Raw genomic sequence first — 13627 nt, 5'->3', positions numbered from 1 at the left:
ACAGCCCTGACCCTTAGATGCGGTGGTCTAGTCAGAAGTAATCCAGGGCAGTGGAATCCATTCATGTGATTTGCGCTTGGAACTTAGTACTGCCATACTCTAGTGGCCATGGTCAGGTAAACTGGGAAGAAGTTTTTTAGTCATAACAATAGGCATGTGACTTAAAAGCAAATATCATTTCATTCCTAAGCCACAAGGTAAAGAAGACTCACCCTTAATTAGGTTTAAAGTGGATATTAGAGTTTCTAATCACTGATAGAACAGTGCTCTTGCAAGAATGAAGATGTTAGGAAAAAACTTTGTGTGTTCTTTCCTCAAATTGTAATTTTAACAATTTCATAGTTCATGCCCTAAAAGACATCCAAGTAAAGGACTTGTGTCTTCAGATACCCTTTGCCATGATCACTTCTGTTGCTCTATAGACAAGAGTAATAATTCATTTCCCAAAACGTCTGTGTAGTTGGACAGGGCTACACCACCAGTTTGCCTTGGCTGATACCCCCAAAGCTTTGTTGTAGCTGTTCTTGTGAACAGGAGTTCCTATTGCTTCCTGCCTTGCTTGTTTTCATTTGTAGTCTTCCCATATGCTTGGGAAAATCTTTCTGGTCAGGAAGAGTTGGTTGAGGATACTTAGTTATGCAAGGATGAGGCATACTTTTCCTTGTTTTAGTTTTGACCCAAGGAGTAGCTAAGATGTGGAATAAAAGGAATTTTCTTCTCTGTTACTTATTTCCTTGAGGTTAGAAGTGGTGACCTATAGTTTAGACCCTTTCAGTCTTCTCATTGAATGAATAAGAAGAAACTAGTCCACAATTTTGGCTGCTTCATTTTCAGTTTTAAATTAATTTATGTTAACTCCTTAAGGATGGAGACTTGGCACCTGGCCCAGTCACATATCATGTGGAACTTTTCTATGTGGAGAAAACTCTGTAGGTATATTGTTTTCCAAATTGACATTTGTGTTTTATGGGAAAAACGCAGATGAGCTAGAGTAGGCTCAATTTTTCATTAAGTGTGCATTGGGGAAAATCTGAGCTTTCTTCCTTCCTGTGGTTCGAGTTCTATTTCCAGTTGTTAATTGGGAAGTTGAATGCCTGACAGCTGGGCCAAGTAAATTGATTGCCATAAAGAAAGCAACACACTCTGAGGAAAGCACTGGAAGTCTGCGACTACTTGTTGTTATGTGACACAAGGCAGCCAAAATAATCAGACTTTTTTGCTAAGCATATGGTTGCCAAAGATAATTCCCAGAAGTCTTCATTCAAGGAGGCCGAAATCTCAGTGTTCAATATAGAGGATATATAACATTAGATAGTGTAAGAGATTCAGAGTACCTTTAAACTCTGGTTTTGCAATGTCTGGTCACCTTGCAAACTTATGGGATAGCTGTGTTATCATGGATATGATGTAATGCTGAAAATGACACAAAATTTTGTCTGTTTTGTCTCTGTTTTGCTTTAAGAGAAGTAGCTAGATGCAAAGTGATGAAGATAAATGCCCTCTTCTTTCTTTGGGGAGTTACATGTTTCCATGGGAATACATATATAAAATGTATCATGCATGGTTGGGTGATCCTAGAAGTAGTAGATAAGAATGCCATTTAAAAATATGAATTCCACACACAAAAAGTACATAGCTGGAAAGCTGGAGCTATGCAGAAACATTAATGAAAAATTAAACGTTTACATTTCTCTAACATGGTAAATAAAACTTCATATTAGACCTTAATTTTAAACAAGTTTATTGGTTTTAAAAATTTCTGTGCTCACCCAGTGGATTTATATTCATTTCTGGTTTATATTCATTTATTCCTGCCTAGTCCTGGAGAACCATATAAATTACAATTGCTTCTTGTATAGGAATTCAACCAGGCCCTAGATTTGAAATAACATAGTGATGGGCTTAGGGTATCACCTAAATGAGATGGAGCTTCAGCTAGGAGATATTTAGAAACAGGTAAACTTGAGTAGGATGACATTTTAAGGTGAATTTAATCTCTGCGGTGACCTGAAGTGGAGAAGAAAAGAACTCACTTTATTAGCAGCTGTAATTAGGGCCCCTTTGGTTATAAATAACAGAAACCCTTTTCAGATAGTTTTGGCAAGATAGAAGAATTTAGTAGAAGATGCAGGTTTGGGATTGGCTTATGGATCCCAAGGGCAGAGATGCAGTGGGGCCTTGGTTTTCCACCGCAGCCAGAGGCTGGAGGCCCATATGGAACCCAGGAACCACCCCCTTCCTCACCTCATTTCTGCTTCTCTCTGGACCGACAGATGGACTTCTTCTGTTACCCAGTCCACATGATGGAAAGGGGGAATTGCCAGCAGCTTCTGAGTTTATGTTTTGCTCAAAAGAATAGCCAGACAGAAATGTCTTTATCCCAGTCCTAAATCCCAACTGAGTGTCTTGGCTTTAACTGGGACCCAAGAGTGGAAACTTCTCTATTTAGAAATGAGGGCATGTTGGGCAGATGTGGCTGCTGCCATTAGCCATGTGGGATTGCTGGGAGGGAGAGCAGGAGGGTGAGGTGCGAAACAGGAAGATAGAACAATACATGCGAACCACAAAAGGTCCAGGAATAATTATGGTGGTTGCTGTCATTTCAGTATTGAGTGGAAATGTGTTTGGTGCTGTTTATCTTTCCTTCTTGAAAGGGTCTGAGAGAAAAACCTCTCTAATTTGCTAAGGCAGTGCTTCTCAAAGTGTGGTCCCTAGACCAGCAGAATCATCATGAAATTTGTGGGGATAAGGAAGCGTTAGAGATGCAAATTCTTGAGCCCTACTCTGGACCTAGTTGAAACTCTGGGGGTGGGAGTCCCGCTGTCTGTGTTTTCACAAGCCCTCCTAGCGATTCTGACAGCTAAGGTTTGAGAAGCACTGTGCTGAGGAAGTGGTTAATTGGAAAAATAAGTTTCATCCATCTGAGAAGAATGCTTTAGGTTGAAGCTGACAGAGAACAAAGCTCTATTAAATGTACATTTTACTTTTTAAAAAGAACCATCTCTCTTCAGTGAAGATTCTTTTTAATTTATTATGAAATAATGGTATCTGGGAACCTTTTTTTAGAAGGGCACATGTACCTAATAAATCAAGATAGTGTTGGCTGTGAGCCTCAGATAATACTACTTTTTTCAATGCTCTTTGCTGTTAAATTTCATGATTATTCCTGAGCAATGTTGGCTTTCATTTAGGAGAAAAACCTTTCTCTACCTCCCCTCTACATAATCTAAGACCATGTTGGAGACTCTTCTAAACAATTATTTGAGGTTAATTAGAGATTTAGCTTAATAATTTCTCAGAGCAAAAACTTATTTGCTTATTTGGTATTTTCCCTTGGAAAATTATGGTCTAGCAAGCTTTCTAAGCAGTGTGACTTCAGTAATCTATACGGATGGAAAATACATGTTGTATTTTTATGTTACTGCCTTCTCACATTTGCCTCCTTCAGACTTGGAAGTTATCTAGTTAGGTGGTAGAGACGATGTGAGGCCAATTTGTACTTAGTTCCTTATGATTCTACCTGCTTCCATAAAAGGCTAAATGTAGAGTTCACTTATAAAGTGAACAGGTAGATCTAATCAGTCTAGTAAGTCCAAAAATCAAAAAATTCACATATTCATTTCAACTTTTTTTGAGTCCCTGGAGAAATTTATTGAATCCAGTATTCTGCTTTTCTAGAATTTATATATTTTATTTTATTATTTTTTTAGAGACAGGGTCTTGCTCAGTCACCCAGGCTGGAGTGCAATGGTGTGATCATAGCTCACTGTAACCTTGAACTCCTAGGCTCAAGCGATCCTCCCACCTCAGGCTCCAGAGTAGCTAGAACTACAGATGTGCATCATCACACTCAGCTAATTTTTTTTTTTTTTTTTTTTTTTTGTAGAGACAAGGTCTGCTATGTTGCCCAGGCTGGTCTTGAACTCCTGGCCTCAAGCAGTCCTCCCAACTTGGGAGGACTGGGAGGTATGAGCTACTCACAAAGTACTGGGATTACAGGTGTGAGCTACTATGCCTGGCCAGAATTTATATATTTTATGTTTTAGAGGGCATTTCTAGACTGATTTTAATGTACCATCTCATTTTAAAAACTGTGTATGTATGCGTGTGTGTGTGTGTGGGAGGTTGTGTATGAGAGAGACAGAGTTTCACCCTGTTGTGCAGGCTGGAATGCAGTGGGTTCCTGGGTTCAAGCAATTCTATGCCTCAGCCTCCTGAGCAGCTGGGATTACAGGTGCCTGCCACTGCGCCCGGCTGATTTTTTGTATTTTAGTAGAGATGGGGTTTCACCATGTTGACTAGGCTGGTCTCGAACATCTGAGCTCAGACAATCTGCCCACCTCAGCCTCCCAAAGTGCTAGGATTACAGGGGTGAGCCACTGCGCCTGGCCCATCTTTATTAAAATATAATTCACATACCATAAAATTTACCCATTCAAAGTACACAATTCAATGATATTTAGTATATCCAACAGAGTTGTGCAACCATCACTACATCAAATTCCAGAAAATTTTCATTGCTCCCAAAAATGTCGAGCCCATGAGCAGCAGTCACTCTCTATCCCCACCACCTCCACCCCCCACCCAGGCAACCATGAATCTACTGTTTCAATAGTTTTGTCCATTCTGGACGTTTCATATGAATGAAATCATACAATATGCAGTGTTTTGTGTCTGGCTTCTCTCACTTAGCATAATGTTTTCAAGGTTTTTCTATGTTGTAACATAAATCAGTACTTCATTTTTATGGCTTTATTCATTTTCAATTTTTATGATATTCCATTGTATGGATATACCACATTTTCGTTTATGAAGACATTTGGATGTTTGCCATCTTCTGCTACTATGAACATTCATGTGCAAGTTTTTGTGTGGGCTTAGGTTTTTAATTCTCTTGGGTATATACCTAGGAATGGAATTGCTGAGTCAAATGCTAACTCTGTGTTTAACATTTTAAGGAACTGACAAGTGGTTTTCCAAAGTAGCTGCACCATTTCACGTGCCCACCAGCAGTGGATGAGGGTCTCAATTTCTCCACATCCTTGCAAAAAACTTGGTTTTGTCTGTCTTTTTTTATTATAACCATCTTAAGAGTGTAAACTAGTGTTTCATTATAGTTTTGATTTGCATTTCCCTGATGACTAATGATGTTGAGCATATTTTCATGTGCTTATTGGCCATCTGTATATCCTCTTTGGAGAAGTGTCTATTCAAGTTATTTTCTTACTTTTTAAATTGGGTTATTTGTTTTTATTCTTGAGTGTTGAAAGTTTCTTATGTATTCTGGACATAAGTCTCTTCTCAGATATATGATTTGCAAATATTTCCTCCCAGTTCTGCCAGTTGTCCTTCGTTTTCTTAATGATATTATTTGCAGCATGAACGTTTTTAATTTTGATGAGGTCCATTTTATCTCTGTTTTTCTTTTGTTGCTTGTGAGCCCTATCACATTTTCCATAAATCCAAAAATTAAGTAAAAAATGCAGACTTGTTTAATATTAAAAGGAAAGTCTGTCTCATATTCACATAGTGCTATTTAATTTTCAGAGATATAAAGCCTGTGAAACCAAATTTATTGAATAATACCTCAGTGGAGTGGACCCTTCTGACTCCCGTATTTGCTGTAGCATTCTTTATATGTCTGATGGCAAAGAATATTTATATGTCAACTTTTTAAATGACTTACAGTGAATGTGACCAGCAATGGGCCTACAACTAATGGCTGGATCACTTTCCTCATTGCCATACACACCGTGAGCAATTTTATATATATATATATATCCCATGGCTGGGGGACAATGAAATATAAATAAGAATTAGACTTTTTTTAGCCCTTGAAAACTCAGTGAGAATTGGAGACATTGGGAGTACCAAATCTATATGTTACACAAACAGGGAACAGATCACTTTAATAAGGTAAAAACAACATATTACTATACCCAGAGAAATCTTCTCTTGAAGGTCTAGATCTTGTTAAGCTCAGAGGCTAGACAGCAGTATTGTTAACCTGACCATTTAAGCAGGACAGACTCAGAAGTAGCTGGATGCAGCCAGCCCTGGAACTTGGTTCTTTCTCAGCTACAAAGAGGAACTTATTCCAACAGGCTCTCTGGCCATACCTGCTGTTACACCCGCTCTGGCCAGTAAGCACCCTTCTGTTTATTTTGTAATTCCACATGGCCTTTACAAATCCTCAAACCCGTACACCTGAATGGCTCCTGCTGCTTTCCCCCGCCCCATATGGGAGCTGTTCCAGCTCACACCCTCAAGGCCAGGGCCTCTGCACCTCCCTTTTTAGCCCTCAAGCTTCAGGCTACCCTTTTTGCTTTTTTGACCCAGCTTTCTCCAAGGCCTGGGATTCAAAAGACCAGACTCAAAAGGGCTCTTGTTTTATTATCATCTCCCTGTCGCATAGCTGCATATGTTAATATAGCCACGAAAATTTGTATTGGCTTGTGTTCCCAGAAACCAGGCAAGAACTCTGACAGGAATTTAATGTGCTCCACCTTCATCGTAGATTCCTTTTCTGTTGGACTGCTTCAGGACTAGGGCAGGGAGGGGTCTGGACGCAGCAGGGAGTGGGTAGGGCTGCAGGGTGGTGGATCTGGGGTGGGGGCGTGCTGAAGGGGCTCTAGATCTTCCTTTACAAATATGGAGCAAAAGAATTAAGAATGACGCCTAGGCCTTCCTCTTGGATTCCTGCATCTCTTTCTGTTTCTGGTATAAATGACTACAGATGTTACCTAATCGGTAACACATACTTGGGGCACAAACGGAGAGGCCGCTGGTAAATACGATTTGATGATGACGACTCTGAGAAGACGCTTTATTTTCCGAGGGATCCAGTTGCAGTGTGGTTGCAAATATTTGAGTAACCAGTCAATCTGCTCAATTTTTCACTCATAGGACAAGTTTTCCTGATGGATAGAAGGTATGTACCTTGCACCATTCTAGGTTTTTGAGGTTCCTCCCAGCGGCCTTTTGGCTATATGTTAATACAGTTATAGTCTTGTGAGGGAGAGCTTAATCATTATTTTCCTTAAAGAGATATCAAAAGCATTCTCATTCCACAGTGGTTTTTCTTCTCATCACCATATTAACCTTTCACCTTTAACATATTCATGTCAAAGAAGGGGAATATTTGCATGCATAATTAAATCGCATGAATATGGTGCCCATCTGGATACATGCTGGTCTCATAGACCTACCCCTTGAGAAGGGAATCCTCATTGCTAAGTAGCTTGTCTGCTGCCAAGAGGCCGGGTCACCCACTGGGCAAGGGCTCTACTGCGTGGTGGGGCAGGGGCTACTCAGCGCATCTGTGCACCGCACTGGAAGATGCATATAGTCTGAGAGTGATGGACCCTTTCCATTGGGCAGGGGAGTGTCCATATTAGCCCAAGAATAGAAATTTCACAAAGAGAATTGTTTTTCTCTTATGGCTTTTAGGATTCTTACAGAAAGACAAATGATTTAAAAGTGTTTCCCCGCTATCAAGCTGTAAGGGCCTGTGGTATTCTTTCTGAAGGGATCTTTGTCTTCCCTTCTAATAATTCTTTTCTTTACTCCACCCATGTATGCGTTTTTCCCATTTTAAGCCATCCTGAGTTTGTGCTGTGAGTTGATTTACTTCCTTTTTTCTAACTACGGGATAGCAGCTGGATTCAAGCACATTTCCTGGTTTCCTGTGGCTTGCCATATGCTTGTATCACTTATCTCCACAGCTGGAGAGAGGAGGGAAGGTTATAGAATTTATGTGCGACCCATCACATTTTATCTTAGGTACAAAATCAGATGGCGAGGGTCACTGTTTAAAGAATAAATTATGAACTTGTTTCTTTACTTCCTACTACTACCATCCTTTTCCCCATAAACCCACCCTTGCCCTAAACATATGTACACACTTCCCCTATTTTTGCTACCAGAAATTCTTCCTGCTATTTTGAGGTAGAGGGCGTTTATGGGGACAGCCTTACAGAGCTCCCTGTGGTCCACATGCGTGTTTCCAAAGGTGCATTAAGAGCCCCTCCCCTCAAGAGGAAAAGAGGCCCTCAACAGAACCAAGGATTACTGAGAAGAAGAGGTGAAATTGCACTGATTTGTGGACCTGATTATATGAGTGGGATCTCTTGCCTCTGCACATTCAAATATTGGTAAGAACTTTCACTTGGAAATCAGCCATGTTTATTTAGCCATCATATCGGGTAATATGTAAGTAATACTTTTTTTAGAACTTTTTTTCCAAAGAGCTGTGAAGAAGAAAGAAGAAAGCTGGGGAGTAGGAAGACAGTTTCATCAGGACAGAATTACACGTTTAATCAGGACAAATCTTTTCAATTACTCCTGCTAGATCCCACTACATTTGCACCCTGTTTATCCTATCATACTGTTTAAAATATTTTCTTCCAAAGCATTGTTCATACTAGAAAGCTGTTCCTGCCTGACGTTCAGCTCTCCTGGAGACACCCAGGACTGGGGTATCAGTCCTGTGTGTAACTGTGAGTGTTCAGTGACTAGGGTCTCGCTATCCAGTGTAAGGGTTGCGTCCTCTTCCCCCTGCCATCTGGTTGGCTGTTTCTGGCTCTTCAGCACCTGCTCTAGAGAGGACGCGAGAACCAGAGAGAGGAAGGGAAATTAAAATGAGTCGCTTACACTACTTGTAAGTAGCTTTGATTTAAAAAGCATTTGGAAAAGAAGGTTGAAACACAGCCAAAATACATCAGGGGAATATCCATGCACTCTGTATCTCCAGAAACTATGGGGAAGTGAGAGCCCGGAGGGAACATTATCTACTAGTGGGAGGTCCCACCCCACAGTCCAACGACTCCCACAGGCATGGGACTAGGGACCGTACCCTATCAAAAACAGGGACTCACTTATTATTGGCTGTTGCGAAGATTTCTTGGGGGTTTAAATGAACCCTATATTACTCCTCCTATCTTTCCATTTCTTCTTTGTGACCTCCTTCCTTTTTGTTTTATTTCACTTATTCTTTCATTCAGCAGATATTTATTGAGCTGCTACCATTTTCCAAGCCCTGTTTGGGCACTAAGGATACAAAAGTGAATAAGGACCTCACCTGCATGGAGCCTACGTTCCCTTCCTACCCCATCTATTGCTACCATATCTTACTCCTGGTATTGCCTGGGTTCTGGTCTCTGTTATTATCTGATTCTCCACTCTCTGCATGTTTATCAGCCCTTCCCTGCCTGCTGGGAACATTGACCAACAAGAGTGAAGTAGTCACGGCTTTTCAGCAGCGATATCCTTGCAACAGATTCATTATTATTTATATTAGCAATATTTGTAGATTAATATTACTAGTATCTACTAGTGTTATATACTAGTGCATATTAGTAATATGTAGCACCACATAAGAAAAGCATGTTAAACTTGTCTGCATATACTGAACCCCTTTGACCCTCTGGACATGGAAAATACTTGAAAAATTGACAAACTCTCAGTTATTAAAATAAAACTTCTTTTGCTCCTTTCCCTCCTTGGGCATTAAGGAATCCCTCTGTGCATAAAGCAATGGCCAACCCATCAGTTGACAGAGATGGCCTTTGCTTTTTGGTAATTTTTTATGGTAGCAGGGATTCTACTGAATCTTTCAGGAGTTATATATTTTTTCATCATTTTTCCTTTTTTTTTTTTTTTTGAGACAGGGTCTCTCTGTGTCACCCAGGCTGGAGTGTAGTGGCACAATTACAACTCACTACAGCCACAAACTCCTGGCCTCAAGCTATCCTCCCACCTCAGCCTCCCAAGTAGCTGGGACTACAGGCATGTGCCACCAAGCCCAGCTAATTTTTTGATTTTTATCTTTTGTAGAGACTGGATCTCGCTATGTTACCCACCCAGGCTGTTCTTGAACTCCTAACCTCAAGCAGTCCTCCCACTTTGCCCTCCCAAAGCACTGGGATTACAGGTGTGAACTACTGTGCTGGCCAGAATTTGTATATTTTAGATTTTTATGTTTTAGAGGGGATTTCTAGGCTGACTTTAATGTACCGTCTCATTTTGAAAAACATCTTTATTAAAAGTGATCCTCCTGCCTCAGCCTCCCAAAGGGCTGGGATTATAGGCATGTACCATTGCCAGGAATCCTGTTTAGAAGCCACATGTGCACACACACACACACACACACACACACACACACACACACTCACACATGCACACACATCAGCACTCTGGTTCATGGAAGGATATATAAAGGCCTATTATTCACAACATATAAGGATGGACAGGGCTTAGATTTATTAAATGGCAAAGGATAATAATGTTAAATAGCTTTAAGGTTAGATCAGATACTTTAATTGACCCTTTCCATTTTTTTCTTTTTTCTGCCTTTTTAATATGAGACAGGAAAAGTATATTCTGGACATTAGATGAAAAATAGGTTAATTTTTTTTAAATGAGATCATTTGGAATGTTACCAAATGGCATATATATAGTTCAAATGCACCTCTTTAGCTAATTTCTAGTGAAATTATTAAATGAAAAGAAAACAAGATGATTGGGAGAGGTTTTACATTTAACACCAGGACACTCAAAGTTCAACAGATAATGACTGAGCCACCCGACATCATCTGCTGGGCTGCCAAAGCTAATCTCTCTGAGCTCCCAGCGACTGAAGGATTTTAATTTTGATTTTGATTTGGACAAAAGTGAAATTGAGTGCAGAATTTGTTATGTTTGAGGGACATATTCTGATATCTGGTCACCAGAATCAAGTTGAAAACTCATACTGCAGGTGTGGGCATACTGTTGTGGCCAGTCTGACAACATTTGCAGATATCCAACTGAGTTAGCTCAGTCGAGGACCTGTTGCATTGATAACTGGTGTAGAGGACACAAGACTAATTTAAAAATCTACGTAAGAGTAAAGCAACAAGCGCTTTGATCTTGTAGAAAATGATATGTTTCATGTACCCCAGAAAGAAATTCCAAGTCTCACTAACTCTTTTTTACCTGTAGAGTTTGAGCTCAGCATTTTTAAGACATGTTTGTTCTTTGCAAATTCAAAAAGTTAGCAAAATAGAATACCTGGTGCTTCTCAGGTGTTTTTCTAAAATTGACTCTAAGTTGATCCCCTGCTCACCTCTGTCTACTTAATTATGAATTCTAATTTGCATAGCTAATTCTAAAGACATTTGTTAATTTTCCTTCCTAAATTTCCAGGTATTATACTGATATAGAGGGAAAATGTTGGTTACTTTATGATTTTGATGATAAAATTCAAGAAATCAATTCTGATAAAATACCTTTGAAATTGTTTTAAGAATAAGAGTGTGTGTGTGTGTGTGTGTGTGTGCGTGCGCGTGCGCGCGCATGAGCGAGAAAGAAGGAGGAGGCATACAGAAAATCCTAGTTCTATCATTTTAAACAAAATTCTTCTAATGTTTAGGCTGCTGTAAAGATTGGTGTAACCACCAGAAAAGAGTATTTAATTCAATTAATTAATGAATTAATTAAAGAATTAATTTGCCACAGATTTTTTATCATCTTCATCATAGACATTGGCTTGGTCTCGTGGTTTGCTCAGTTTTCCCTGCACTATTCTGAGTGAAATGGGGTGTGTGTGTGTGTGTGTGTGTGTGTGTGTGTGTGTGTGTGTATGTGTGTACTGGAGGTCATTGTATGGTTTTCTGTTGAAAGCTACCATTCTTGAAGTTTCTTATATATTGAGGATAACTAAAGGAAAATGTGCCCACTACTGTTTTCTTTTATGAAGAAAGAGTCCCCTCTTTTTCCCCAGGAACAGATGGCCAGTTTGTCGAGGAGGGAGAGCAGGCCTGGGAGCAGGCTTGCATCGCCTCTCTCTGGGGTGTGGCAGCACCCATGGGCAAGCCCCAGTATTGGAGTTCACTCCTCAGAGCAGGAATGGGGAGCTTTTCCCCACCAAGGGCCACACTGTAGATAAAAATGAATTTTAATATATTACTTCCCATGGAGAAGAAGCATATAATAAGCCGATCCTTTATAGAACATAAAACTTGTCTTGGCTGGAGACACGGTGGCTCATGCCTGTAATCCCAGCACTTTGGGGGACCGAGAGGACAGATCACGTGAGGTCAGGAGTTTGAGACCAGCCTGACCAACATGGAGAAAACCTGTCTCTACTAAAAATACAAAAAATTAGCCGTGCATGGTGGCGCAAGACTGTAATCCCAGCTACTCGGGAGCCTGAGGCAGGAGAATTGCTTGAACCCAGGAAGTGGAGGTTGTAGTGAGCCAAGCTTGCGCCATTGCACTCCAGCCTGGGCAAGAAGAAAGAAATTCTGTCTCAAAAAAAAAAAAAATAAAGCTTGTCTCAATCGACTTGTGATTCTGTTTTGTGATACAGGGGGAGACACAGTGTAGGGTAAAAAAGCCAAAAGAGAGAATAACATTCAGCATCTAAGCATTGGGTTCTTAATTCTCATAACAAGGATGGAGATACAAGGTATCTCCATTGCACTGGGTACCTAGCTCCAGTCATAGGGTGAGGGGATGGCTTCAGGGCCCGAGGCTGCTTCACTTCCACATTGCTTCTCTCTAAGAAGGAGAAGCCAAACATGTAATTTCAGACTTCTGTGGAATAAACATTTCCTTTTCTGCTCCATCCTTGGCCTCCACTCCAGTAGATCTGGGGCTTAGCCATTCTCTGAGCAACCAAGAAAACCCAGCCCAATTCTTCATTCCATTGTGGTTTTGGAAGGGCAAAAAGAGAAGCAAAGGGAGCAGGCATCTTGCCTTTATCAGATGCCAGCGGGTGCCAGTCCCAAGATAAAGATGTTACCATGGGATCTCATTTCTGTGTCCTGATCATTTGTTTCACTTCATTGGTCCTTTTGGTCTGCATTCTTGTTCACAAAGTTTTAAGTAATGATCAATCCTAAGACCTGCAGGAATCAAATTTCATATGTGGAGGGTGTTTGCCCATCCAAGACCTTTGTATCTTTGAGGTTCATAAGTTGGAGACGAAAGATTTTTGATTTATCCCATTGAAAAGCCTATCACTCTAGAAAGTGAATGGTGTCAGCATGGCATAGTTGGCAGTGCTTTTAGAGGCTCTTTTAAGCTTCTTGTTCTACAATACTAGTTCCAAATCATGATAGCATGCAGTCGAGAGGGAATGACCAATTGATATTGTTTATATCAGTGCCATTTCCAGTGTTCCATCCTTTCATATTTTGTTGTAATCTGTAGCATGTATGAGTGTTCGCAGCAGATTGAGGGCCCAGGAAGGGAGGATAACATTACACACCACCGTGTGCCACACCTCAGGTGATGTATGGGGCAAACATAGCATTAAGCTTGCTCAACGCGCCATGCCCTGTGCTCTCTTGAGGATATCCGAAAGATGAACAAGAACTAAGCACTCCCCTGAGAGCTCAGTGCAGAGGGGAAATGAATCTACACAAAATAATTGCTGTGTAAGGCATCACAATATTTATAAGGTACAAACACTCTAGATATAGAAAAGATGAGGGAGAGAGTGCCACTCGAGGAAGATACAGGAAGGCTGCTCACAGAGGGGACATCCGAATAGGGTTTTGAAGTTTGAATAGGGTTTTATCAGGATATTTGGGAAGGAAAGAGCACATAACAAAAGATAAGACAAGGAGCAGCATGCTCTGTT

General features: G+C 40.5%; 1 protein-coding gene across 18 annotated transcripts in view; it reads left to right on the top strand.

Annotated features, from left to right (window-relative positions):
• The window catches only part of ZNF827 (zinc finger protein 827), a 181197-nt gene that overhangs the window by 70521 nt on the left and 97049 nt on the right, over positions 1-13627 (top strand). The window contains exon 1 of one of the 18 annotated variants that reach the window (XM_011531645.3): positions 6521-6931. The exons of the other annotated variants lie outside the window; for them this stretch is intronic. The gene's annotated coding sequence lies outside the window, so the exon portion shown is untranslated. Of the gene's footprint in view, positions 1-6520; positions 6932-13627 lie in introns of those variants that run through there. 18 annotated transcript variants of the gene reach the window in all.

The sequence above is a fragment of the Homo sapiens genome, chromosome 4 (genome assembly GCF_000001405.40).
Source record: "Homo sapiens chromosome 4, GRCh38.p14 Primary Assembly".
Taxonomy (NCBI): domain Eukaryota; kingdom Metazoa; phylum Chordata; class Mammalia; order Primates; family Hominidae; genus Homo; species Homo sapiens.
This window is presented reverse-complemented; position numbering and strand designations above follow the sequence as displayed.